This window comes from Homo sapiens, chromosome 8 (assembly GCF_000001405.40).
Source record: "Homo sapiens chromosome 8, GRCh38.p14 Primary Assembly".
Lineage (NCBI taxonomy): Eukaryota > Metazoa > Chordata > Mammalia > Primates > Hominidae > Homo > Homo sapiens.
In genome coordinates this window covers 30,728,685-30,755,873 of record NC_000008.11, presented here as the reverse complement: position 1 = coordinate 30,755,873, position 27,189 = coordinate 30,728,685, and the positions used below count along the sequence as shown (strand labels likewise).

The following is a 27,189-nucleotide window of genomic DNA, read 5'->3' as shown; positions in this document are numbered from 1 at the left end:
TGAGGAAAGATCAGAATATTCTTGTCCTCATATAAGACAATAACAATTTATTTGACAGTTTTAAAGACTATCTTATGTCACAGTCAGTCTTCTTTTTTTTTTTTTTTTTTTTTCTGGAGAAAGGGTCTTGCTCTGTCTCCCAGCCTAGAGTGCAGTGGTACAGTCACAGCTCACTGCAGCCTCTTGACCTCCTGGGCTCAAGTGATCCTCCTGCCTCAACCTCCCAAGTAGCTGAGACTACAGCCACACACTACCACGTCTGGCTAATTTTTAATTTTTTTTTTGTAGAGACAGGGTCTTCCTATGTTGCCCAGGCTGGTCTCAAACTCCTCGTCTCAAGCAATCTGCCTGCCTCATCCTTCCAAATTGCTGGGATTACAGGCGTTAGCCACCACAACAGCTTTTTAAGGAACCAAGTTATATGCTCTTTAGGCACCAAAAACCACTTAACCAGCCAGGTGCAGTCCATGGTAGGGTGCACCTATAGTCCCAGCTACTTAAGAAGCTGAGGCAGGAGGATCCCTTGAGCCCTGGAGTTTGAGGCTGCAGTGAGCTATGATCGTGCCACTGCACCCCAGCCAGGGCAAGAGAGAGAGACTGTCTTTTAAAAACAAAGACCAGCTGGGCTCAGTGGCTCACGCCTGTAATCCCAGCACTTTGGGAGGGTGAGGCGGGCGGATCATGAGGTCAGGAGATTGAGACCATCCTGGCTAACACGGTGAGACCCCATCTCTACTAAAAATACAAAAAATTAGCTGGGCATGGTGGCAGGCGCCTGTAGTCCCAGCTACTCGGGAGGCTGAGGCAGGAGAATGGCATGAACCTGGGAGGCGGAGCTTGCAGTGAGCCGAGATTGTGCCACTGAACTCCAGCCTAGGGGAACAAAGCAAGACTCCATCTCAAAAAAAAAAAAAAAACGACCAACCCCTTAACCATGTAATAAACAAGTATGCTGAACAAAAACTGATAATCATTATCAATAAAAACTCCTAAAAGCAGTCTAACATCATTTTCAATTAAAAATCAATCATGTAATAGGAAACATAGTAAGAGGATTCAAAATATAAAATGAGAATATTTTCCAACCCCAAGTTTGTGACCACTGCTTAATTTCCAGGCTTCACCCGTCATTTGATAAAAGCGCTCCTCCAGTTTTCTCAATTTCATTTCCTGGTGAGGTTTTAAAACATTCTCTATGTATCTGCTGGCCTGTTGAAAACAACAAATTAGGTGTTGTTACTATCCATTAATGTTCCTAAAAATGTACACTGTCTATAAAGTTGTAAATAAGAACCAAGTAAGAACCCTGCTGGCTGAACAGAGCCACTGCCACCCTGTTTGGCTGCTTGGTTGTGGGGAGGCTCGTGCCGACAGCTGGACAGCAAGCGGGACAGGCATTTGTTTTTGACCTGCCTGATTATGACAGTATCAACCAGGTTGTGGTTTTCATGCTGGGAACAATCCCATTTCCTGAGAGAATGGGAGGATCTACTTTTCCTATCCTGATTCAAATTGAATGCCGGTATGGCAACTCCAAGGATTTGTCACAAATGGGAAACCAAGTGCCATCTTTAGAATTTCAGATCTTAAATCTGGAGAGGGAAGCCAACATCCTTTGTTTTTGTTTTTGTTTTGAGATGGAGTCTCACTCTGTCACCCAGGATGGAGTGCAGTGGTGCAGTCTCCACTCACTGCCATCTCTGGCTCCTGGGTTCAAGTGATTGTCCTGCCTCAGTCTCCCAAGTAGCTGGGACTACAGGTGCCTGCCACCACGCCCAGCTAATTTTTGTATTTTTAGTAGAGACAGGGTTTCACCTTGTTGGCCAGGATAGTCTCGATCTCTTGACCTCGTGATCCACCCGTCTCAGCCTCTCAAAGTGCTGGGATTACAGGCGTGCACCACCACGCCTGGCCCAAAATTTTTTAAAAATTAGCTGAGCATGGTGGTGTGTGTGTGCCTGTAGTTCCAGCTACCCAGGAAGCTGAGGCAGGAAGATCCCATGAACCCAGGAATTTGAGGCGACAGTGAGGTATGGTTGTACCACTCCACCCCAGCCTGGGCAACAGAGAGAGGCCCAGTCTCAAAAAAAAAAAAAAAAAAAGTGGTATATCTATTCAATGGAATATTATTCATCCACAATAGGTAAATCCATACCAACAGAAAGCAGATTGGTGGTTTTCAGAGGATGGGATGAGGGCAGAGTGGGGAGTGACTGTTTAAAGAGTATACGGTTTTCTTTACAGAAGATGGAACAGAGGTGGTAGTTGTACAGCCTTGTGAATGTACTAAATGTCACTGAACAGCTTGGTCAGTTTTGGCTGGGCATGGTGGCTCATGCCTGTAATCCCAGCATTTTGGGAGGCCGAGGCAGGTGGATCACCTGAGGTCAGGAGTTTAAGACCAGCCTGGTCAACATAGCAAAACAACATCTCTACTAAAAATACAAAAATTAGCTGGGTGTGGTGGTGCGCACCTGTAATCCCAGCTACTCGGGAGGCAGAGGCAGGAGAATCACTTGAACCTGGGAGGTGGAGATTGCAGTGAGCCGAGATTTCGCCACTGCATTCCAGCCTAGGTGACACAGCGAGACTCCATTTCAAAAATAAATAAGTAAAATAAAATGGTCAATTTATGTCACGTGAATTTGACCTCATTATATATTTTTTAAAATCTTAGCACCAAGACAGAAGCAACAGCCCTTAATTTTAATTGCCTCAGAGATTTTTGTATTTCTCTACGCATAAAGTCTCTAAAAATTCTGCCTTACCTTCTCTCCTTGTGCTTCTTGTTGTTTTTTTCTCACAAGTTTTTGTCTTTTCTCATTCTTTTCTTCTTCTTCTAAGACATCAAAACATAAAAGTGCTTTTTACTTCCCAAGTATCTTATTTGAAGTACAACCAATCAAATAATGTATCAAAAGAAAGAAAAAAATCTAAAGTCTATGATGGGGAGACCCTAACACATCACATTGTCATTTATGTTTGGGTTGAATAGTATAACCTTTTAGGATTATGGTTTTGTTCACAGTTAATTTGAAAGGGCTATACATTAAATACTGGTCACTTTCCTTTTATTTACTTACATTTTAATAAACAGTGAAACAAAACACAATGTACCAAATTCACTAATGACAAGCTTCTTCCTAGTAGCATAGAAAATATGTAGTTTTTGGTTTTAAGATTCACCTATTCTGAGGCTAAGTACAATATTATTTTAAAAGGCTTCTAGGACTCACAAACTTTTGCTTATCAAAAATCAAACAGGCTGGGTGAAGTGGGTCAAGCCTGTAATCCCAGCATTTTGGGCGACTGAGGCAGGACTTGAGCTCAGGAGCTAGAGACCAGCCTGGGCAACATGGCGAAATCCCACCTCTACAAAAACTATAAAAACTACAAAAATTAGCCAGGTGCAGTGGTACACACCTGTAGTCCCAACTACTCGGGAAGCTGAGGCGAGAGGATCACTTGAGCCTGGGAGGAGGAGGTTGCAGTGAGCCAAGCACGCCACTGCATTCCAGCCTGGGTGACAGAGCGGGACTCTGTCTCAAATTAAAAAACTAAAAACAAGCATGATTTCCTAAAATTAAAAACATTTACATATAAAAGACAAAGGTGCCTAAGTAAAAACTGCTAGAATGGAATAAAACATTAGGATGAAAAGCCTTTCAAGATTAATGGTAGATTGGCCGGGTGTGGTGTCTCATGCCTGTGATCCCAACACATCGGGAGGCCGAGGTGGGCGGATCACGAGGTCAAGAGATCGAGACCATCCTGGTAAACATGGTGAAACCCTGTCTCTACAAAAAATACAAAAATTAGCTGGCATGGTGGTGCATGCCTGTAGTCCCAAATACTCGGGAGGCTGAGGCAGGAGAATCACTTGAACCCAGGAGGTGGAGGTTGCAGTGAGCCAAGATCATGCCACTGCACTCCAGCTGGTGACAGAGTGAGACTCCATCTCAAAAAAAAAAAAAAAAAAGTTTAATGGTAGATACATTGACTCTGTAGAACAGCTCATAAACTGTAGGTATCAAATGGCAGTTAAGCAGCACAAACACACAATTTAAAATTAGGGAATTTACCATATAACAACTTAGAAATGATATAGCTTTAAAACACATATATAAGAAAAATGTACAATTTCTCATAAAAATGTTGGGATATACTCCATGCAAAACAATCATCACTAATGTTTAAAAACCAACACAAAAAATCATGACTAAAGTTGTACTGATTACTCTCCCTGAAACTACACATCACAAATTAATAGTAAAATGGCTCTTACTGTGCAAAGTTCTAGAATAAATAAATTTGAGTAGAATGGTATAAAAGGGTAGAATAAATAATAAACTTACCCTTCAGATAAACTTGGGGAGATTTAAATGAGTTAAGCCATGAGGTAGTCACAGAAATAGTTAAAGTAAGAAGAGCAAGCAGTAGCAAAATCCGGCCACAAAGCAAAAGAAAATCCTTGATTCCTGATAAAGGAAAAAAACTAAAATTAAAATTCAAAACTTTTTTTTTAAGAGATGAGGTCTCACTATGTTGACTAGGCTGGTCTCGAACTCCTGAGCTCACGTGATCCTCCTGCCTTGGCCTCCCAAAGTGCTAGGATTATAGGCATGAGCCAACATGCCCAACCCAAAACATTTTTCTTGATACTCCTAATAAATTATAACACATTAGAAGATTATTTGTACTGGAAAAGTATAGTAGAAGTTATACAACTGTCTTATGATTTTGTTCATATAATAGTCATCCCTCAGTATTCATGGGGTATTGGTTCCAGGACTCCTGAGTATACCAAAATCCACGGATGCTCAAGTCCCTGATATAAAATGGCACAGTGTTTGCATACAGTCTATGCTCCCACATACTTTAAATCATCTATAGATGACTCATATACTACCCAATACAATGTAAAGGCTCTATAAATAGTTGCTATACTTTATTGTTTATGGACTAACGACGGGGAAAAAAGCCTGTAGATGTTCGGGACAGACAGACAAACATCCATTTATCCATTTTTTTCCTGAATATTTTCTTTTTTTTTTTCCTTCTTTTTTTAAGAGACAGGGTGTTGCTCTTCTTTTTTTTTTTTGAGACAGAGTCTCGCTCTGTTGCCCAGGCTGGAGTGCAGTGGCATGATCTCGGCTCACTGCAAGCTCTGCCTCCCAGGTTCATGCCATTCTCCTGCTTCAGCCTCCCGAGTAGCTGGGACTACAGGTGCCTGCCACCACGCCTGGCTAATTTTTTGTATTTTTTAGTAGAGACGGGGTTTCACCATGTTAGCCAGGATGGTCCCGATCTCCTGACCTCATGATCCGCCCGCCTCAGCCTGCCAAAGTTCTGGGATTACAAGCGTGAGCCACCGTGCCCGGCCGACAGGGTGTTGCTCTTCTTGGTCTTGCTCTGCCACCCAGGCTGCTGGAGTGCAATGGTGAGACCACGGCTCACTGCAGCCTCAACCTCCTGGGGCTCAAGGAGGGCCTCCTGCCTTAGTGCCCCCAAGTAGCTGGGACTACAGGCACGTACCACCACACCCGGCTAATTTCTGTATTTTTTGTAGAGATGGGGTCTCGCCATGTTGTCCAGGCTGGTCTTGAGCTCCTGAACACGGGCAATCTGCTCGCCTCGGCCTCCCAAGGTCCTGGGATTGTAGGTGTGAGCCACCACACCCAGCCCTTTCTGAATAGTCTCAATCCACAGGTGCTTAAATGCTCAATGTGGAACTCAGGGATACAGAGGGTTTACTGTACTCTCCTTTGGGCATTAAAAAACTCATGATGGTTGTCATTTCCAGAACAAATGTACAGAGCATAATTCTAGAATAAACACTATCTTGGGAATACAGTTACAATTAGAGCGATCAGCTACACTATATTATGAATATCAGTAATGTATAAGTTGTAGTTTCCCATATAGAGAAAATTACATAACTAGAAATAAAACTGAAAATATCATCGTGTTGGTCAGGTGTGGTGGCTCACACCTGTAATCCCAGCACTTTGGGAGGCCGAGGCAGGCAGATCAGAGGTCAGGAGATCCAGACCATCCTGGCTATCACGGTGAAACCCTGTCTCTAATAAAAATACAAAAAATTAGCTGGGCGCGGTGGCGGGTACCTGTAGTCCCAGCTACTTGGGAGGCTGAGGCAGGAAAATGTCATGAACCTGTGAGGCAGAGCTTGCAGTGAGCCAAGATCGTGCCATGGCACTCCAGCCTGGGCGACAGAGAGAGACTCTGTCTCAAAAAAAAAAAAAAAGAAAAAAAGAAAATATCGTGTCAAATTCTAGTTCTATGATAATCTCACTGAAACACCAAATTCTTATTTCTCACAAATTGTGCAACTGTGTGCTTCTTTATTTCTTGACATTTAGTCACTTGTAAGTAAAATTACGATTTACATGCTTGCGGAGGAAAAAGTAAAAATATAGTATTTGGTCTATTTATTTATTTATTTATTTTATTTTTTTTTTTTGAGACGGAGCCTCAGTCTGTTGCTCAGGCTGGAGTGCAGTGGCGCAATCTTGGCTCACTGCAACCTCTGCCTCCTGGGTTCCAGCTATTCTCCTGCCTCAGCCTCCTGGGTAGCTGGGACTACAGGCATGCACCACCATGCCTGGCTAGTTTTGTATTTTCAGTAGAGATGGGGTTTCACCACGTTGGACAGGCTGGTCTCAAACTCCTGACCTCAGGTGATCCGCTGGCCTCAGCCTCCCAAAGTGCTGGGATTACAGGCATGAGCCACCGCACCCAGCCAGTATTTGGTGTTATATTAAGAACCAAAGTGAAAATTATTTGAGCAGAAATCTAACTACCTACTTTGCATAATACAATTTGGCAAATGTTGAGGGACAGGAAACAAAGCTGGGTTAAAAATGATTTCCATCCTCTTGGAATTTTTACTCGTTTTGTGTTTTTAATTTTCAAAAGATAAATGGCAGAGATACAGAGGAATCCAACGTGATCAAGGCTGGTAATTAGTCAATTAACTAAAACTTAAAGAAGGAATCAGAAAAACATATATATAGGCCGGGCGAGATGGCTCATGCCTGTAATCCCAGCACTTTGGGAGGCCAAGGCGGGTGGATCACCTGAGGTCAGGACTTTAAGACCAACCTGGCCAACACGGTGAAACCTCCATCTCTACCAAAATACAAAAATTAGCCAGGCATGATGGTGGGTGCCTGTAATACCAGACACTTGGGAGGCTGAGGCAGGAGAATCACTTGAACCTGGGAGGTAGAGGATGCAGTGAGCAGAGATCATGCCATTGCACTCTAGCCTGGGCAACAGAGTGAAACTCTGTCTCAAAAAAAAAGAAAAAAACATATATAGACTTAAATGTTTTATTTTAAACTGAAAACAGATAGATGTATATTCTTGCCTTTTTTTTTTTTTTCTTTCAGATGGCCTCTCACTCTCTTGCCCAGGCTGGAGTGCAGCAGTTGATAACAGCTCACTGCAGCCACAACCTCCAGGGCTCAAGCAGTCGTCCCATGTCAGCCTCCCAAGTAGCTGGGACCACAGATGTGGGCCATCAGATAATATATATATATTTTTTCCAAATGATCCTCCTTTCTTGGGCATGGTGGTTCATGCCTGTAGTCCCAGCTACTCAGGAGGCTGAGGCAGGAGAATCACTTGAACCCAGAAGGCGGAAGTTGCAGTGAGCTGAGACTGCACCACTGCGCTCCAGCCTGGGTGACAGAGTGAGACTCCATCTCAAAAAAAAAAAGAAAAAAAATTTAGCTTAAGTACAAGTAAAATGTATTGACAATAAAGGTTTTTACACAGTAGAAAAAGACAAGGCTAGTTTTTCAATATATGTCTGAATATTAGTACAGGCATAACCAGCCCTGCTGCTGGTATAAAGTATGATGTGTAAATCAGACTTAAATGCTGTTAAGAAATAATTATTGGAAGCTCACTATCAAGAATCCAAAGGTAGCAAAAAAAAAAAAAAAAAAAAAAAAGAAAAAATATATATTAAAAAAAGAAAACTTGGCCTCCCAAAGTGCTGGGATTACAGGCATGAGCCACCTTGCTTGGCCCAATATTCTTTAAAAACCCTAGCAATTTAAAGTTGCTTAGAGAAGAAGTATGACTTTAAAAAAAAAATCACGGCTCCTCCAACTTGCCAGTATTAACTGTTGATTCAGGTGTTATTCAATACAACACATAATTTAATCTATTTTATCTCTGGCCAATACAAAAGTAGTTTAATATCTAGAGTATTGGTATGTAAAGAAACCATTGAGGCCAGGCGCAGTGGCTCACGTCTATAATCCCAGCACTTTGAGAAGCTGAGGTGAGTGGATCACTTGAACTCAGGAGTTTGTAACCAGCCTGGGCAACATGGTGAAACCCCGTCTCTACTAAAAATACAAACATTAGCCAGGCACAGTGGTGCACACCAGTAATCCCAGCTAGTTGGGAGGCTGAGGCAGGATAATGGCTTGGACCTGGGAGGCGGAGGTTGCAGTGAGCAGAGATTGTGCCACTGCACTCCTGCGTGGGCAACAGAGTAAGACTCTGTCTCAAAAAAAAAAAAAAAAAAAAACACCACTGAGGTGTGGGATTTATGTTCCATACTACTGCTGTTCGTTCTAACAAGCAATTTGCAAACATCACATGAGAATATGAAAGAACTATATTTGTGTGTATACCTTTAAAGAAAAAAAATTTTAAGGTTTTTTCGTTTTTGTTTTTGTTTTGAGATGGAATCTCACTCTGTTGCCAGGCTGGAGTGCAGTGGTGTGATCTCGGCTCACTGCAACCTCCACCTCCCGGGTTCCAGCGATTCTCCTGCCTCAGCCTCCCAAGAAGCTGGGACTACAGGCGTGCGCCACCATGCTCCGCTAATTTTCGTATTTTTAGTAGAGACAGCGTTTCACCATGTTGGCCAGGATGGTCTCGATTACTTGACCTCATGACTCGCCTGCCTCGGCCTCCCAGAGTGCTGGGATTTTTTTGTGTACTTAAACTATAGACCCCATAAGCAGTGTACTTCAACGTGAGGAACTGGCCTTAAAATATTTAGCTTAGTCAGGGCGCGGTGGCTCACGCCTGTAATCCCAGCACTTTGGGAGGCCGAGGCGGGTGGATCACAAGGTCAGGAGTTGGAGACCAACCTGGCACAACATACCGAAACCCCGCCTCTACTAAAAATACAAAAAAATTAGTCGGGCATGGTGGTGCATGCCTGTAGTCCCAGCTACTCAGGAGGCTAAGGCAGGAGAATCGCTGGAACCCAGAAGGCGGAAGTTGCAGTGAGCTGAGACTGCACCACTGCACTCCAGCCTGGGTGACAGAGTGAGACTCCGTCTCAAAAAAAAAAAAAAGAAAAAAAAAATCTAGCTTAAGTACAAGTAAAATGTATTGACAATAAAGGTTTTTACACAGTAGAAAAAGACAAGGCTAGTTTTTCAATATATGTCTGAATATCAGTATAGGCATAACCAGCCCTGCTGCTGGTATAAAGTATGATGTATAAAACAGACTTAAATACTGTTAAGAAATAATTATTGGAAGCTCACTATCAAGAATCCAAAGGTAGCAGAAAAAAAAAGGAAAAAATATATATTAAAAAAAGAAAACTGAAAAGAGGAAACAATCCAAAGGAAACAATCATTCGTTCAGAATTCTGAGAAAGAAGCTAATCCCATGAAAATTTCAAGAACTAGATAAAGATGCTGCCAGGAGCCCAGGTGCAATTTATAGAACCCTTGTCCCTAGTTCTATTAAACTAGACACTGGTAAGTGCTGGGAATACAAAAACAAATTCCATTTGGTCTCTGCCTTCAAGAAGCATATTTCTGGCTGGGCACGGTGGCTCACACCTATAATCCCAGCACTCTGGGTGGCCGAAGTGGGTGGATTGCTTGAGCCTAGGAGTTCCAGACCAGCCTGGGCAACATGGCAAAACCACATCTCTGCAAAAAAATACAAAAAATAAGCAAGGCATGGTGGTGTGGCCCCTGTATTCCTAGCTACTCAGAAGGCTGAGGTGGGAGGATCACTTGAGCCGGGAAGTCCAGGCTACAGTAAGCCATGACCGTGCCACTGCACTGCAGCCTGGGTGACTGAGCAAGACCTTGTCTCAAAAAATAATAAATGAGCAGAGTAGGGGTGGATGTTGAAAAGACAAGGGAACAGGTGAATTGCGGAAATGGTGAGTGTGAATTCAACATTTCTGATCCTTTGGATAAAGGTCTTGTTATATTCCAACACAGCTTGAGTGAGTGAGAAGCTTCAGGACAGTCTTTGTACATTTTTTTAAAGCATTTTATTTTCATTTCTTATTGCACGCAACATTTCTAGGCATCTGACTCCTTGTGAGCAGGGAGAAAATGTGGAGAAAGAGAGGGAGTACACAAAGCCAAGTTTCATTATGGTCTCTAACTTTAGAATTGACCTTAAAAAGGGAGACAGACATGTAAACTGATCACTGAAATGTCCAAAAATCAACTCATGATTCTCAGCATCTCCACAGTTTTTCTTTCCATTTCCCCTTTACCAGTAGCACTACCAAATACCTAGGTTTGCTCAGTCCCCCATGAGGCAGTCGTCCTTGAATCCTTCCTTTCCCTTGCCCCAAACATCAACCCATAAACAAAGCCTGTTGGTTGATCCTACTCCGTCAATATCCCAATTCTGTCTACATTTCATCTCCTGTTATTGTTCTAGTCCAGGCCATCATCACCACTTGTCAACTTCCAAAGCCTGATGTGCCTCACTGCTTCCACCATAGCTTCTGTCCAAAGCATTCTCCATACAGAATCGAGTGACCTTTTTAAAACTTAGGGAAGTCACTTAACCTCCCTAAATTTTAGTTCCCTCAACTGTAAAATGGGGATTATAATAGTGCCTACCCTCCTCTGATTGCAGTGCAGATTAAATGAGATAATAACCAGCACCTGGTGTTTGGCTTATAATAGGTGTTCAATAAACGTCATTATCCTGAGCCAATTCCTCCTCCTCCTCCTCCCAACTCTCCTTGATTCAGCCACAATGGCCTTCACCTTTTCCTCCAACGTGTCACAATCTTTTTGCCTAAAATATTCCTCCCCTCCCCCATCCCTTCCCTGCCCCCACTGGCTTTTCACGGGCGTGGCCCCTTATTTAAACCTAGGGCCGGGCGCAGTGGCGTAGGCCTGTAATCCCAGCACTTTGAGAGGCCGAGGCAGGAGGATCTCTTGAACCCAGGAGTTCGAGACCAGCCTGGGCAACATAGTGAGACCCTGTCTCTAAAAACAAAACAAAAAACTTCTCAGCCTAAATTCTCACAAGACCTTCATCTTATCAACCTGTTTATTTCCTTTTCAGTGTTCGCCAGGATGCGAAAGCACTGTCTATGATTGCCCCTGTGCTCTTTGCCTCTACCCTCTTACACGTAAAACCATCACACCTGGAGGGAAAAGGTTCCTCGAAGTGAAGTCAGCTCCGGAAGTGGGGGGGCAGGGGCGATGCAGTCTGGGAGTTGTAGTCAAAGCTGCTCCGAAGCCACGCAGCCGAAGAGGCGGTCGTTCTATGCAACATTCCTGTGAAAATTACCCAGCTGTGACTGTCGAAGGGAAAAAGTCACACTTACCTATATCCGGGATCCCACGCCGGAGCTCCAGACACACAAGGGGGACAGCAGAGAGGAAGAAAATGCCAACAACCCCACGTGAAGCCATGGTGGCGGAAGCGCCTGGTGCAGGCGGAAAGCCCGCCCCTTCCGGCCGCGTTTTCCGGGAAGGAAGTGGAACTCTTCTTGCCGCGGGCCGGCTGGGAGAGGGTCAATAACGTGGTAAATACTGACGGCCGTGTCGTTATTGAGGGGGAGCTAAGCCCCGTGTTTTAAAGTTATAGTCTGTAGCCGTGTTTCAGAAGAAAGGCAAGTCGTCCCCCAAGTCACATGATGTCCAGAGGAGCCTGGGCTCTAGAGCGGTGGCTCCCTGGAGGGTAGCAGGGCAGGGGCTGCCCCTTCGGTCTTTGCAGCGTCTGTGAGAAAGCGCTTTCCAGAGGGAAATGAAGCCGAAGAAAAAGCTGATGCTGTGAGGAGGCAGCCTGGGCCCCCCGGCCTTGTGGCCGTATAGGATGAATGTGGGCTATAACACCTTCCTTATCTCCCTAACGGTTCCTGGTTCCTGGCCCCGTCCGCAGTCTCTGGTTCCTGCGGAAAGACAACTCGAAAGTGGGGCCTGGCTCCAAATACCTGCCCCCTAACACGCACGTCCTAATGCCAGGTCCTGGAGACCCGCTACCCCTTGTTCCGCCCCTTTTCAGTTTTGCCTGCACGCGTTATTGTTAACCTTGACTTCATAGTTCCATGACCTCATTGCCGTCCTATAACTCACCACTGTGCACTTCTCCCAAGCTACTGAGGTCCTCCCAATCTACAACATTTCGTACTTGGAAATTATCTTTCCTGGCCAGGCGCGGTGGCTCACGCCTGTAATCTCAGCACTTTGGGAGGCCGAGGCGGGCGGATCACAAGGTCAGGAGTTCCAGACCAGCCTGGCAAATATGGTGAAACCCCGTCTCTACTAAAAATACAAAAATTAGCCGGGTGTGGTGGCGGTCGCCTGTAATTCCAGCTATTCGGGAGGCTGAGGCAGGAGAATTGCTTGAACCCGCATGCGGAGGTTGCTTTGAGCCGAGTTTGCACCACTGCACTCCAGCCTGGGCGACAGAATGAGACCCCGTCTCAAAAAAAAAAAAAAAAGAAAGAAAGAAATTATATTTCCTGGCTAAGCGCGGTGGCTCACGCCTGTAATCCCAACACTTTGCAAGAAAAAAGAAAATTCTTTTTCCTGACCCATCCATCTAGCATCCCACCTGACTATTCAGTTTAGTTCATCTGAAATTTATTGAGCTCCACAGTTTGGTACTCTACAACTCTTGGATATTCAAATATTTACAAGTTACTGAATTTGTCCTCAAGAAACTCAGCTTATCCGACTTTGTGGTTCTATGGAGAAGAAAAAAAAAAACTGGGAAAGATAGCCCTGTAAGCAAATAAACATAATGCAGTTCCTGAGTGCTATGATAGAGATATACACAGGGTGTTGCAGAACCATACCCAGAAGGCTTGCAAAAGGCTTTCCAAAAGGAAGTCACGCCTACGTTGTGTTCAAAGGTTAGGAATCTGGGCAAGGATGTCCGGGAAGGGTGGGATTTCAAGTTTAGGAACCTGAGTGCAAAGGAACTACCAGTGATTATTGCTGCAGTTTAGAGCTTGAGGCCGGGCGCGGTAGCTCACTCCTGTATTCTCAGCACTTTGGGAGGCGGAAGGAGGCAGATTGCTTCAGCTCAGGAGTTCGAGACCCCTCTGGGCAACATAGCTAAACCTGTCTAAAAAAAAAAAATAGCTGCGCGTGATGGCGTAGCCTGTGCTCCCAGCTACTCAAGAGGCTGAGGTGGGAGAATCACTTGAGCCCAGGAGGTCAAGTCTGCAGTGAGCTGAGATCATGCCAGTGCACTCCAGCCTGGGCGATATAGTGAGACCCTGTCTCTAAAAATAAAATAAAGCTGAATGAAGGCTTTTAGAGGTAGATTGTTGCTAGGGCCGCAGAGGCTTTCCTTTGTATATAGGCTAAGAACTTTATCCTCCAAGCAAAGGTGCAAAATATTAGGGCACAATCTGAAGATCAGTAAGGGTGAGGTAATATAAATTACAGCATGACATACCATAAAATAATTAATTATATTGACTAGTTCAGATGTTCCCATAGTTGTCTGTATCTTGTGTTCATCATGCATAAGGAGGAAGACAGGAAAGAAAGTTCTACAGTCTGTATCTTGTGTTCATCATGCATAAGGAGGAAGACAGGAAAGGAAGTTCTACAGTTCTTAACCACCTACCTCCTGTATTTTTTTCTTCCTCCCTGGTCTTCCATATTACCTAATTTAATCTGTTGATGGCGCCATTGAATCTCTCTCTGGACTACAAAAGGCAGTTCCTAACCAATCCAAATTTACCTTGTCTTAACATATGGGAAGCCAGCATTTCCCAAACTTTGTTGTTTGTGAACTCTCTTCACTGCAACTGCTAGCTCTCCCCACCAAAGACCACCAGAATAACCTGTCAGTAAGTAAATTTGAGTTTCTTACAGCATTAGAAAAGAACATTGTGGCCGGGCGCGGTGACTCACGCCTGTAATCCCAGCACTTTGGGAAGCCGAGGTGGGTGGATCACCTGAGGTCAAGTTTGTGACCATCCTGGCCAACATGGTGAAACCCTGTCTCTACGAAAAATACAAAAATTAGCCTGGCATGGTGGCTCACACCTGTAGTAACAGCTCCTCGGGAGGCTGAGGTACCAGAATCACTTGAACTCAGGAGGTAGAGGTTGCAGTGAGATCATACCACTGTACTCCAGCCTGGGCAATAGAGTGAGACTCAGTTTCAAAAAAAAAAAAAAAAAAAAGAACATTGCTTTGACATAATCTTAGTCGTGTCTCAGAGGGGACGTCAAGGGTGATTTTTATTTGTTTATGAGACAGGGTCTCACTCTGTCACACAGGCTGGAGTTCAGTGGCACAATCACAGCCCACTGTAGCCTTGACCTCTCAGGGTCAAGCAGTCCTCCTGCCTCAGCCTCCAGAGTAGCTGGGACTGCAGGCACATGTCACCATGCCTGGCTAACTTTTTTATTTTTTCTATAGACAGGGTTTCACCATGTTGCTCAGGCTGGTCTTGAACTCCTGGGCTCGAGCAATCTGCCAGCCTCGGCCTTACAGAGGGCGATTTTTATAGGGTTCTATAGTCTAGTTAGAGTGGTTTAAGGTGGTCTTTTCAATATGGAGATTTCACTGGGATTGGACATAGTTCATGGTAGAATAGTTTGAGACGGTACACCCAACAAGGTGAAGAAATTGAAGTTAGATTTTCCCTCTTTTTTGACAAGGAAGGTGATTTGCCCAATTCAATGATCAGCTCAACTTCTCAGTGCCTGAGAAGGAAGCTTTGCAGCCTGATGAGCAACTTAGAGACCAGATAAATGGGAAGTTCCTAAAGCTCAGAATGAAGGTATGGATTGACCTATAGCCTATCTTCGTGAGTAAGAATTCCTGGAACAGTAAAATCAGGTTGATTTAGAGCTCTTAGTTCTCATTGGTGATTGTTAAGCTGTAAGTTACTGGTGTCTCCATTCTCACCAAAAGGGTCTCACTCTTGTCACCCAGGCTGGAGTGCAGTGGCACAAGCATAGCTCACTGCAGCCTGGAACCCCTGGGCTCAAGCGATCATCTCACCTCATCCTCCTGAGTAGCTGGGACTACAAACACATGCCACCATGACTGGCTAATTTTTATTTTTTCTTTCCTTTCTTTTTTTTTTTTTCCAGGAGATGGGGTCTTACTATATTGTTCAGGCTGATCTTGAACACCTGGTCTCAAGTGATTCTCTAGCGTTGGCCTCCCAAAGTGCTGGGATTACAGGTGTGAACCACCGCGCCTGGCCTGTTTTCTGCTCCTTAATTGCCTTTGGCCAAAAAATAATTTTTATCTCAAAGAGGCATATCTTGGGGTGGCACCTTCTGGTTTCCTTCACATACTTCATATGATATACATACTTCATCGTGCATATCATTAAACACAATGAAATGGACACATCATGAGCATACCATTCCTTGAGTTCCAATGTATGCATACCCAGTGCAACCTAAATCCCAAGCAAGATACAAAGCACTGACTGACCGTGGCGGCTCATGCCTGTAATCCCAGCACTTTGGGAGGCTGAGGTGCCCAGGAGTTTGAGACCAGCCTGGACAACATGGTGAGACCCCATCTCTACAAAAAAACACATTTTTTAATTAGCTGGGTGTGGTGGCATGCACCTGTGGTCACAGCTACTCCAGAGGCTGAGGCAGAAGGATCACTTGAGCCCAGGAGGTGGAGGCTGCAGTAAGCTGTGTTTGTGACACTGCACTCCAGCCTGGGCGACAGAGAGAGACCATGTCTCAAAACAAAAAGCAAAAAGCATTGCACAGAGAGCAAGCATTGCTCTGATTTTTTTCCACCATAGGTTAATTTTGCCTCTTCTAGGACTTCTGTAAATTATACAAAATGTACTCTTTGGATAAGGCTTTGTTCACACTGTATGCTTTTTTAAACATTTTATGAGATAATTATAAATTCACATGTTGTTATAAGAGGTCACGGAGATTGCATAAATCCTTTACCATTTCCCCCAGTGTTAAAATTGTGCATAAGGACAGTATAATACCATAAACAGGAAATATATATTGACACAATCCAGTGACTTCATTCAGATTTTACCAGTTACAGATACTCATTTGTGTGTGTGATTTAGTTTTTTTATTTTATTTTTATTTTTTGAGACAGGGTCTCGCTCTATCACCCAGGCTGGAGTGCAGTGGCACAATCTCGGCTTACTGCAAACTCCACCTCCCAGGTTCACGCCGTTCTCCTTCCTCAGCCTCCCGAGTAGCTGGGACTACAGGCGCCCGCCACCACGCCCGGCTAATTTTTTGTATTTTTAGTAGAGACGGGGTTTCACCGTGTTAGCCAGGATGGTCTTGATCTCCTGACATCGTGATCCACCCGCCTCGGCCTCCCAAAGTGCTGGGATTACAGGCGTGAGCCACCATACCCGGCCATGTGTGATTTAGTTCTATGCAATATTATCACCTGTGTCAATTTCTCTGAACACTACAGTCAAGATATAGAGTAGTTCCATCACAGGAATTCCTCATGCTACCCTTCTACAGCCAAACCACCTCACTTTCTACCCTCACCACCATCAACCCCCATGAAACCACTCGTCTGGTCTCCGTCTCCTTTTTTCCCCCTCCATCTTAATTGAGGTATAATTGAGTTAAAATCCATCTCTTTAATTTTGTCATTTCAAGAATATTATATACATGAATCATACAGCAGCAACAACAACAAAAAAGCCTTTTTTGAGATGGAGTTTCACTCTTGTTGCCCACGCTGGAGTGCAATAGCACAATCTCAGCTCACTGTAACCCCTGTCTCCCAGGTTCAAGCGATTCTCCTGCCTCAGCCTCCCGTGTAGCTGGGATTACAGGCGCCCGCCACCACGCCTGGCTAATTTTTTGTATTTTTAGTAGATACGAGGTTTCACCATGTTGGTCAGGCAGGTTTCAAATCCTGACCTCAGGTGATCCACCCACCTGAGCCTCCCAAAGTGCTGGGAGTACAGGTGTGAGCCACCGTGCCTAGCTTTTTTTTTTTTTTTTTTTTGAGACGGAGGCTGTCGCCCAGGCTGGAGTGCAGTGGCACGATCTCGGCTCACTGCAAGCTCCGCCTCCCAGATTCAGGCCATTCTCCTGCCTTAGCCTCCTGAGTAGCTGGGACTACAGGCGCCTGCCACCATGCCGGCTAATTTTTTTTGTATTTTTAGTAGAGACAGGGGTTTCACCATGTTAGCCAGGATGGTCTCGAGCTCCTAACCTTGTGATCCGCCCGCCTCGGCCTCCCGAGTGCTGGGATTACAGGCGTGAGCCACCGCACACGGCCTTTATTATTATTATTATTTTTTAAAAAGACAGAGTCTTGATTGCTCTGTTTCCCAGGCTGGTCTCAAACTCCTAGGCTCAAGCAATCCTGCCTCAGCCCCCTGAGTAGCTGGCACTACAGGAATGTGTCATTGCACCCAGCTGTTACTGACTTTTTGATGAGAAGTTTTTAATTTTGATGACAATTTATCTAAGTTTTCTTTTATGATTATTGCTTTCTGTGTCCTAAGAAACCTTTGCTTTTCTTGAAGTCGAGAGATTCTCCTATTTTTTTTTTTTTTTAAATAGACACAGGGTTTCACCATATTGTTCAGGCTGGTCTTCAACTCCTGAGCTTAAGCAATCTGCCCACCTTGGCGTCCCAAAGTGCTGAGATAACAGGCATGAGCCACCGTGCCCGGCCTCTATATTTTCTTCTAAAAGCTTTGTATTTTAGCTTTTACATTTAGGCTTATGAAATTGCTCTTTTAGTAGTCTCTTTTTCCCCCCTAAAAAATAAGATGGCTACGTGTGTGTGTTGGTTGTTGTTGTTTTAACAGGGTCCAATCGTGTTGCCCAGGCTGCAGTGTGGTTGTACAATCACGGCTCACTGCAGCCTCCACCTCCCAGGCCCACGTGATCCTCCCACCTCAGCCGCCTGAGTAGCTGGGACCACAGGTGTGCACTACCATACCTAATTTTTTTGTTTGTTTGAGACAGGGTCTCGCTCTGTTGCTTAGGCTGGAGTGCAGTGGTGAGATCACGGCTTACTGCAGCCTTGACCTTCTGGGCTCAGACTAGGCACCAAAATCACATAGACTTGATTCATCCAATGAACAATAAATATGATGCACCTACCACACCCCAGGTGCTGTTACAGATGCTGGAGATATAGCCACAAATAAGACAAGATTCTTGCACACCATGGAGTCTGTACACTAGTGTGTGATGACTAGTTTTATATGTCAGCTGGGATGGTGTTTTTGGATGAAATTAACATTTAAATCACTTAACTCTGAGTAAGCAGATTGCCCTCCATTATGTGTGTGAGCCTCATCCAGTCAGCTAAAGGCCTGAATAGAAAGAAAAGAACAGCTTCCCCGAGTAAGAGTGATTTCCCAACAGACTGCCTTTGGACTGGAACTGCACCATCATGCCAAAAAGCAGAAGGTAACACAAGCAGGAGAAAAAAAAATCAATCAACAGAAACAGACCCAGAAATGACAGAGTTGATGGAATCCACAGATACAACTTTAAATATGTCAACAAGGAAAAATGGTTATGCTAGACTGGTGCAATTATGATTTTTTTCTTATTTTTCTAAATATATGAAAATTAAACAAAAAGAACATTAATCCCTTATATGAATATTTATTTTTTGATGATGAACATTATTCCCAAGAACAGATAAATGAAGGAAATGATAAACACCACATTTAAGACATTGATTACCTCTTGGGGGAGGGAGACAGGGAGAAGGGTGCAACTGGGATAGCTATGTAGAACTAGACAGTGTGGTAGTACTACATTTCTTAAGCTAAGAGGTGTGGATGTGCCATTGTATTATTCTTTATACAGGTACTTTGTTTATCTTAAATATTGCAAAATACAATTCAAAAATAAACAAGGGCTGGGTGCAGTGGCTCACGCTTGTAATCCCAACACTTTGAGAGGCCAAGGCGAGTGGATCACCTGAGGTCAGGAGTTTGAGACTAGCCTGGCCAACACGGTAAAACCCTGTCTCTACTAAAAATACAAAAAGTATCTGGGCATGGTGGTGGGTGCCTGATATCCCAGCTACTCAGGAGGCTGAAGCAGGAGAATCGCTTGAACCCAGGAGGCAAGGTTGAAGTGAGCCGAGATTGTGCCATTGCACTCCAGCCTGGGAGATAAGAGCGAAACTCCGTCTCAAAAAAATAAAAAGTAAAAATAAAAATAAACAGTTACAGAAACAATACCACATATTTATATTCAGAATAGGAGTAGTAGTGTTATTTCCAAAACTTTTTATGATCTCCCCCATGATCTTTCAAGATATGTTACTGAAATGAGATCAAAAGCGTGAAAGAGATCCTCAGTGCATGTGTGATTTCCCTTTAGATGTTATCTTCTGAGGATGTATCCAGTTTTCTCAACAAGGCAGACTTGCTATGTCCCTCTGAAAATTTCTTTCCCTTTACTGTATAACTTGCTTTTTGTTAATTCCACGTTTAGTTATAGTTATTGTTCTCTGCCTCTTCAGTGTTTATCTTTCATCTCAATATTAAACACTGATATTGGGTAACTGAGTAATGTTCAATTATTCCTTTCCTTGTGTTATTTTTATCCTAAGTGACTGCAATTATCTTCATACATGGAACATGAAAAATTTTATTGAGCAACCTGTATTTGCAAAGTTATTTCTGTACCACTATTTCCTGCATAAATTTCTCAAATTGTTTATAGAAGTACCATCACCACCTTTCGGGTGACACAGTATCTCTTGACCTACAACCTCAACACAGAGTTGTAATATGAATTAGTCACTATTAGTGGGAAAGGACTTTTTTGTTTATTTGTTTTGAAACGGAGTCTCACTCTGTCCCCCAGGCTGGGGTGCGGTAGTGTGATCTCAGCTCACTGCAACTTCTGCCTCCCAGGATCAATTGATTCTCCTGCCTCAGCCTCCTGAGTAGCTGGGATTACAGGCACATGCCACCATGCCTGGCTAATTTTTGTATTTTTAGTAGAGACAGGGTTTCACCATGTTGGTCAGGCTGGTTTTGAATTCCTGACTTCAAGTGATCCAACCACCTTGGCCTCCCAAAGTGCTGGGATTATAGGCGTGAGCCACTGAGCTCGGCGTTGTTTTTTTGAGACACACTCTGTTGCCCAGATTGGAGTGCAGTGGTGCCATCTCAGCTCACTGCAACCATGGCCTCCAGGGTTCAAGACTCATGTCTCAGCCTCCTGAGTGGGTGGGACTACAGGTACACACCACCACTCTGGCTAATTTTTGTATTTAGTAGAGACGGGGTTTTCCTGTGTTGCCTAAGCTGGTCTTTTATTTTCACTGTAAGACATACTCAGTGATGGTTTCTTTCTAATAATGGTTAATAGGCTTCTGAGTTAGGCCTTCAGAATTTGAATTCCTGCTCTGCCATTCACCAGCTGTTTAATTTTTAAATTTTTTTATCGTTACAGAATTTTTATTTGACGATCCTAGCAAAACATCCACAAGTCACCAGCTGTTTAATCTTGTGCAAGTTATTTAACCTCTTTGAACCTCAGTGTCCACATCTATAAAATGGAGACAATAACAGTACAGTATTTATTTCTTGGGTTGAGGGAAGATAACATATAAAGGTCTTAGCACAGTGCTTAGCTCAATACAAATTAATTATGGGTTTATTATTTTGAGAAATATTTCATAATGTCTTCATAGAAATCACCTACGTTTGTCCAGTGGGGTTTTTTTTGAGACACGGTCTCACTCTGTTGCTCAGGCTGGAATACAGTGGTGTGATCACATTTCACCACAGCCTCAACGCCCCGGGCTCAAGTGATCTGCTACCTCAGCCTCCTGAGTAGCTGGGGCTACAGGTGTGCACCACCACACCTGACTAATTTTTAATTTTTTTGTAGAGACCAGGTCTTACTATGTTGCGTACGCTGGTCTCGAACTCCTAGAATACAGTGATCCTCCTTCTGTGGCTTCCCTTCCCAGAGTGCTGGGATTACAGGCATGAGCCACTGTGCCTGGCATCCTCTAGTGTTTGAAAGAAATTTTTTTTTTTTTTAAGAGATAGTGTCTCATTCTGTCACCCAAGCTGGAGTGCAGTGGTGCAATCATAGCTCACTGTAACCTTGAATTCCTGGGCTCAAGTGATCCTTTCACCTTACCCTCCAGAGTAGCCAGGACTACAGGTGTATCCCACCACACCCAGCTAATTTTTAATTTTTTTGTGGATATGAGGAACTCCCCTATGTTGCTCAGGTTGGTCTCGAACTCGTGGGCTTAAGGGGTCTTCCTGCCTCAGCCTCCCAAAGTGCTGGGATTACAAGTGTGAGCTACTGCACCCAGCCCAAAATGGTGATTTTTGTGTGTTCCATCTCCATTTATTACATGTCAGTCTGTAGGAAGGAAGAACTTTCCCTTTTTCCCTTAAATTTTGTAATCAGAAAAAAATTTTTGTAAAAGAATTGGATCCCATTCTAATTGAGGTGTGGTGTGTTTCCATTCTCCTTCATTGTGCTGGGCCTCGCTGCCCTGTGACCTGGACCTTCCTTCCTTTGCCTACCGGGCTCAGCCGTGTGCTCGGATGACCTGTGCACTGTCCTTGTGGGCACAGGATCGTGGCCTACCACAAGACAAATTCGAAGCTGCACTTACTACTTTGTTGTGCAGTTGGTAGTTGTAGATATTCCCAAAGGAGACCCAGTCTCTACAGCTTGGGAGATCAATGTTTTTGTGTCTCCATCTCTATCCTTTTCTCTGTGCTTCATCTGTGGATCACAAAAACCGCTACTCCGAATTAATCCACTATTCCAATGTTTCTCAAATTTAAGAGTCACCTGAAGGCAAGAGACAGTGTTGGTCAAAATGTAGTTCCTAGCTGGGCACATGCACACCTGTAATCCCAGCTACTCGGGAGGCTGAGGCCAGAGGATCTCTTGAGCCTAGGAAAGGAGTTTGAGACCCCTGACTTTAAAAGAAAAATAAGGCTGGGCACGGTGGCTGGCATCTGTCCTCCCTCTGCCTGGAGAAAGTCCTTTTCCTCTTTAGAATAAGTAGGTACAAGATCAGGTGCTTGAGGGAGCAGGGGGGCTGTCACTGATGCCCGGAAGGGGGCAGATGCTGCTTTTCGAGCCTCTAAGTCAGCGTGGGAATTCCCCAAACCCACCAAGGTGGAAGCTCGCTGGTGTCCTCTGCAATGTATAACTGCCACCTTGTGGGGTTTCCATACTGCTTCTAATAATTGCAAGATTTCTTGTTGATATTTTATGTCTTTTCCCCCAGAGTTCAATAGGCCCTTTTCTTTATATAATGCTCCATGCACTTGAAGGGTTAAAAAGGCATATCAAGAGTCAGTGTAAATGTTTACAGTCTTACCTTCACTGAGTTCTAAGGCCCGAATTAAAGCAATGAGTTCAGCTTTCTGAGCTGAAGTGCCCTGGGGCAACGATCTGGCTTCAACAACAGTGTCCAGAGTTACCACCGCATACCCTGCAAATCTCTCTCCTTGTGGGTTGATAAAGCTGCTCCCATCCACGTATAGTTCCCAGTCTACTGATGCCCAAGGCTGGTCCCGGAGGTCAGGTCTGCTAGAGTAAACTGAGTCCAACACTTCTACACAGTCATGCTCAACAGGGCTCTCTGATACTGGGAACAAGGTAGCGGGGTTCAGGGTGTTACAAACTTCAATGGTTATACGGGGATTTTCACAAAGCAAACTTTGGTACTTAGTGAGTCTAGCACTCATTAGCCAATGATGTCCTTTAGTATTCATTAAAGTCACCACAGCATGGGGGGCCTTTATGTTCCGGTTTTGCCCAAGAGTCAGCTTATCTGCTTCTTGTACTAGCAGGGCAGTTGCTGCCAAGGCCCTCAAACATGGGGGCCATCCTTTAAAAACCCCGTCTAGTTGTTTAGAGAGGTAGGCCACCGGCCTCGGCCAGGGCCCCACAGTTTGGGTTAAAACTCCCAACTGCCATCTTTTCTCTCTCTGACACATACAATGTAAAAGGCTTTGTCAGATCGGGTAGCCCCAGGGCTGGGGCTGACATAAGTCTTTCCTTTAACTCATGAAAGGCTTGCTGTTGCTGGGATCCCCATTCAAAAGGTTCCCGGTCCCCTCCCCCTTTGTGACCTCATACAAAGGCTTAGCTAATACTGCAAAGTTTGGGATCCACAGTCTGCAAAACCCCACAGCCCCTAAGAATTCTCTCACCTGCCTTCTGGTCTTAGGCTCCGGTAGATTACAAATGACCTGCTTTCTTTCTGATCCCAGGCTGCACTCCCCGTCGGATAGTAAATCCCAAGTAACGTACCTGCTGTTGGCAGATCTGAGCTTTTTTTCTTGGACACCTTATACCCACAGTCCTCCAGGTGCCGGAGTAGAGCATCTGTTCTCTTGGCGCACCCGACTGCCGTGGGGTGTCCCAGCAAAAGGTCATCAACGTACTGGAGCAACACGCAGCCTAGGTCTCTGGTGGGAAACTTCTGGAGGTCTCGAGCCAATGCCTCCCCGAAGATGGTGGGGGAGTTCTTGAACCCTTGGGGAAGCCAGGTCCAAGTGTACTGAGTAGTGACACCTGACTCCGGATCTTCCCACTGAAAGGCAAACAGCTTCTGCCTCTCAGGGGCTAATCTGATGCTAAAGAAAGCGTCTTTCAGGTCCAAGCAGGTGAACCAGCTGTCCTCAGCTGGCAGCAACCCCAGCAATATGTACGGGTTAGGTACTGTTGGATGTAAAGTCACTGTAGCCTGATTAACCAAGCGCAAATCCTGTACCAGCCTGTAGTCCTTGGTCCCAGGCTTGGGAACAGGCAGGAGGGGAGTGTTCCATGGAGACTGACAAGGAACTATAATTCCAAAGGTTCTTAGGTGCTTGAGATGGACCTGGATACCTTCAAGAGCTTCTCTGGGGACCAGGTACTGTTTTTGCCTAACCGGCTGGGCCCCGGGCTTAACTTCTATAAGTACGGGGGCTTCGTTGACTGCCAACCCTGGAGGTTGTCTTCCGCCCACACTCTTGGCCACCGCTTAGCCAGAGCTGGTCTTATCTCTTGGCCCGGCTCAGTTAACAAAAGTCTCCATTCCTCCTCTCGGGGGACCGTAAGGGTCATAATGACTCCCGTTCCGGGTAACTTTAGCAGCAAAGAGCCGTGCTCTGTAAAAGAGATAGTGGCTCTCAGTTTGCTAAGCAAGTCCCTTCTCAACAAGGGCAAGGGATAATCAGGCATGTACAAAAACTGATGAATCACTTTATGTCTTCCTACAGTACAAGTCCGGGGCAAGCAGAAAGCTTGTTTTGCTGAAACTCCCATGGCTCCGATGATGTCAATAGTCTTTTTGGATAAGGGGGCGACTGGGCCGGTTACTACCGAATGTTCAGCACCGGTATCTATAAGAAAATCAATGTCTTTACCCCCAACTGTCATCCTGACCATAGGCTCTTTGGGAGTCCTTGAGCCCGGTCCCCCTCAGTCCAATAACCCTTCTGCCAGGTTGAGCAGGGCCCCTTCCTCCTTGTCTGGAGCCTCCTGCTCCGAGTCACCTTGTTTTCCTTTTAGCTGAGGGCATTTGTTCTTCCAATGTCCTATTTCTTTACAATAAGCACACTGATTACGCTGCAAGCTCTGACAGCCAGGCTGAGTTTCTTTCCCGGGGCCCCCCTTCCCTTGCCTTTTTGTGGGAGATCCCTCTAATTGCTGCAGCTAACAGCTCGGCATTTCGCCGGGCCTGACGTTCATTCTCTCTGCGGTTTTCCTTACGGCTTACTGCATCCCTGTTTACAAACACCTGGTTAGCTATTTCTAATAATTGTGATGTGTTCATCCCTGCAAACCCAGCCTGTTTCTGCAGTTTTCTTCTAATGTCTTCTGCGCTTTGACTAACTAAAGCCATGTTAATCATGCGTTGATTTTCAGGGCTATCGGGATCAAAGGGAGTATACATGTGATAGGCCTCACACAGTCTCTCGTAGAATTGTGCTGGACTTTCTTCTTTTCCCTGAATGACCTCAGAGAACTTATTAACGTTTGTGGCCTTCTGGGCTCCCCTCTAATCCTTCTAAGAGAGCTTCCCTGTATCGGTTTAGCCTTTGCATATCCTCTCTTTCATTTGGGTCCCACTGGGGGTCGGTTCCCGGTAACTGGGTCCTTACATACTCTTGGGGGTTTTGGTAATCAGCCGGTGCATGTTCCCCTAGCCACTTAGTTGCTGCTTGGAGCACTCTCCGCCTTTCATCTGTGTTAAAGAGGAACATGAGCAACTGGTGGCAATCAGCCCAAGTGGGGTTATGGGTCTGGATAATAGTTTGGAGCAAATCAATTAGAGCTTGTGGCTTTTCAGTACAGGACGGGGTATTGTTTTTCCAGTTGAGAAGGTCGGCAGAGGTGAAGGGCTGGCACACAAAAACACGCCTCTCCGCCATGTGCCCATCCTCATCTATTCCAGTATACCGCTGCTCTCTCAAGGGCATTTGTATCCCCGTTTTGGGTCTTAAACGAGCTGCCAAGGGAGGGGTTTCTCCTGAGGCTTCACCTCCTCTCTTGTCTACTCTGGGTGGCCTAGGGATATGTTTGTCTTGCGGAGGCACAAGCACTGTGGACTCAAAAGTGGGGAGCCTCTCTCCCTGGTAAGGGGAGGGCACCACTGGGATGACTTTTGCCATCTCCTGCAATGGATCGTCTGATGTTGGGTCGAACAGAACTTCAGGAGTTGATTTCCCTCGGTGGGTGGAGCGGGATCCTTCCTTGACTATCTGTCCCTTTGCTACTAGCACTGCTGCTGCCTGCCCTCTTACCCACTGTGGTAACCAAGTGTCTATGTATGGAAACTGGTCTGAGTGTCCTGACTTACCAGTTACCTTGTGCCATACCTTAGAAACAAGGGACCTGTCCAGGCTTCCTTCTGATGGCCAACCCACTTCTAATGTTGGCCAATCTATTTCACACAAAGTTCTAAGTTTCCCTGGTGTCATAGTAACCCCATAGTCGCCATTAAATCCCTTCTTAAAATTTTTCAACATAGTTCCTAGAGGAGTAGGCTTATTTTGTGTCTGACCCGTGTTTCCTCAAGACAAAACACCAAGCTCACACCAAACGCACACCACAAAACAAAGAATGGGTAAAAAGGGCACACACGCACTTTTTCAGTTTTCACCAAACCAGAATCAAAACCAAAATCAGAGTATCCAGTAATCCAAGCCAGGTCAAACCAAAACCAAAGTGTCAAGCAATTCAAGTCAAGTCAAAAACAAAAACCAAAGTGCCAGTACAGGCACGCCGTGGGTGATCAGGCCATGCTTCCACTCAAATGGAGTGGGCAAGTTCCGAAGACCAGTCTTACCAAGTTTCAAATGTCCGGACTCCAAGTGCCTGTTCCTTCCCGGTGTTCAGCCACTGCGTTGATACTCCACGGGGGCCTGCCACGCACTGCTCTGACTAGGCGTTCCACCGGGGCAATTGCCTACCCAGGAGCGCTCGCAGGATCCGCGTCGCTCAAGCTGGCGGGAGTTCCCCGCAGGGATGCTCCACAGGGCAGGCCTAAGCCCCCTAAGGGGCTGCCTCGACTGTCCGTCAATTACCTCGCTTCCCAGTCAGGGAACCAAGAAATATAGCAGGATGAGTCACAGACAAAACTCCTCAGACACCAGATTAAAGCAGGAAGAGGTTTTTTATTCGGCCAGGAGCGTTGGCAGACTCGCGTCTTGAGAGCCGAGCTCTCCGAAAAAGAAATTCCTAGCCCTTTTAAGGGCTTACAACTCTAAGGGGTCTACGTGAAAAAATCATAATAGATCAAGTAAGCGTGGGAAACGTGACTGGGGGCTATATACATCAGCTAACAGAACAAAAAGTTTTACAGTGCTTTCTCATACAATGTCTGGAATTTACAGATAACACCAATAGTTTTGGTCAGGGGTTAATAATATTATTATTATCTTAGCCACCAGGGCCAGGTGGTGGTGCCAAGGTCGTCTAGCTATTTATCTTACTTCTGTTTCTTTCCA

The 27,189-nt window shown here is 45.0% G+C and overlaps 1 protein-coding gene, 2 long non-coding RNA genes and 1 pseudogene across 7 annotated transcripts in view, besides 4 other annotated features; 2 read left to right on the top strand and 2 right to left on the bottom strand.

The window, feature by feature from the left end:
• The window catches only part of UBXN8 (UBX domain protein 8), a 37,872-nt gene extending 11,133 nt beyond the window's left edge, over positions 1-26,739 (bottom strand). Inside the window, exons 1-6 of one of the 4 annotated variants that reach the window (XM_011544655.3) lie at positions 26,529-26,739; positions 23,504-24,345; positions 11,414-11,546; positions 4,356-4,478; positions 2,769-2,839; positions 1,087-1,209 (exon numbers count right to left, since the gene is read on the bottom strand). In XM_011544655.3, coding sequence (XP_011542957.1) covers positions 1,087-1,209; positions 2,769-2,839; positions 4,356-4,478; positions 11,414-11,546; positions 23,504-23,629 — 576 coding nt within the window. In that variant the 5' untranslated portion in view covers positions 23,630-24,345; positions 26,529-26,739. Of the gene's footprint in view, positions 1-1,086; positions 1,210-2,768; positions 2,840-4,355; positions 4,479-11,413; positions 11,547-11,596; positions 11,711-23,503; positions 24,346-26,528 lie in introns of those variants that run through there. The other 3 variants (NM_005671.4, NM_001282189.2, NM_001282199.2) reach the window with 3 other exon arrangements.
• Positions 1,335-1,617, top strand: HIKESHIP3 (HIKESHI pseudogene 3; annotated as a pseudogene).
• Positions 11,059-12,027: an enhancer, noted in NCBI's record as "H3K27ac-H3K4me1 hESC enhancer chr8:30601364-30602332 (GRCh37/hg19 assembly coordinates)". NCBI's record gives its function as "activates a minimal SCP1, AML or CMV promoter by ChIP-STARR-seq in primed H9 embryonic stem cells {active_cell/tissue: H9 hESC(primed)}" and the evidence as "EXISTENCE:reporter gene assay evidence [ECO:0000049][PMID:30033119]".
• Positions 11,742-11,821: an enhancer, noted in NCBI's record as "active region_27215". NCBI's record gives its function as "activates an Ori minimal core promoter by ATAC-STARR-seq in GM12878 lymphoblastoid cells {active_cell/tissue: GM12878}" and the evidence as "EXISTENCE:reporter gene assay evidence [ECO:0000049][PMID:35858748]".
• LOC105379356 (uncharacterized) lies at positions 11,802-23,369 on the bottom strand. 2 transcript variants are annotated; one of them, XR_005646967.2, is made up of 2 exons: positions 22,566-23,346; positions 11,802-12,163 (listed from the first exon to the last, which is right to left on the bottom strand). It is a non-coding gene; the product is annotated as an uncharacterized LOC105379356 (long non-coding RNA). The 2 variants fall into 2 exon arrangements; XR_005646968.2 differs by lacking the exon at positions 11,802-12,163 and adding an exon at positions 21,550-22,027 and having other exon boundaries at positions 22,566-23,369.
• Positions 12,062-12,201: an enhancer, noted in NCBI's record as "active region_27214". NCBI's record gives its function as "activates an Ori minimal core promoter by ATAC-STARR-seq in GM12878 lymphoblastoid cells {active_cell/tissue: GM12878}" and the evidence as "EXISTENCE:reporter gene assay evidence [ECO:0000049][PMID:35858748]".
• On the top strand, positions 12,197-15,091 carry LOC105379355 (uncharacterized). Its single transcript, XR_949634.2, has 2 exons — positions 12,197-13,129; positions 14,900-15,091. It is a non-coding gene; the product is annotated as an uncharacterized LOC105379355 (long non-coding RNA).
• Positions 26,156-26,680: an enhancer, noted in NCBI's record as "H3K4me1 hESC enhancer chr8:30586711-30587235 (GRCh37/hg19 assembly coordinates)". NCBI's record gives its function as "activates a minimal SCP1, AML or CMV promoter by ChIP-STARR-seq in primed H9 embryonic stem cells {active_cell/tissue: H9 hESC(primed)}" and the evidence as "EXISTENCE:reporter gene assay evidence [ECO:0000049][PMID:30033119]".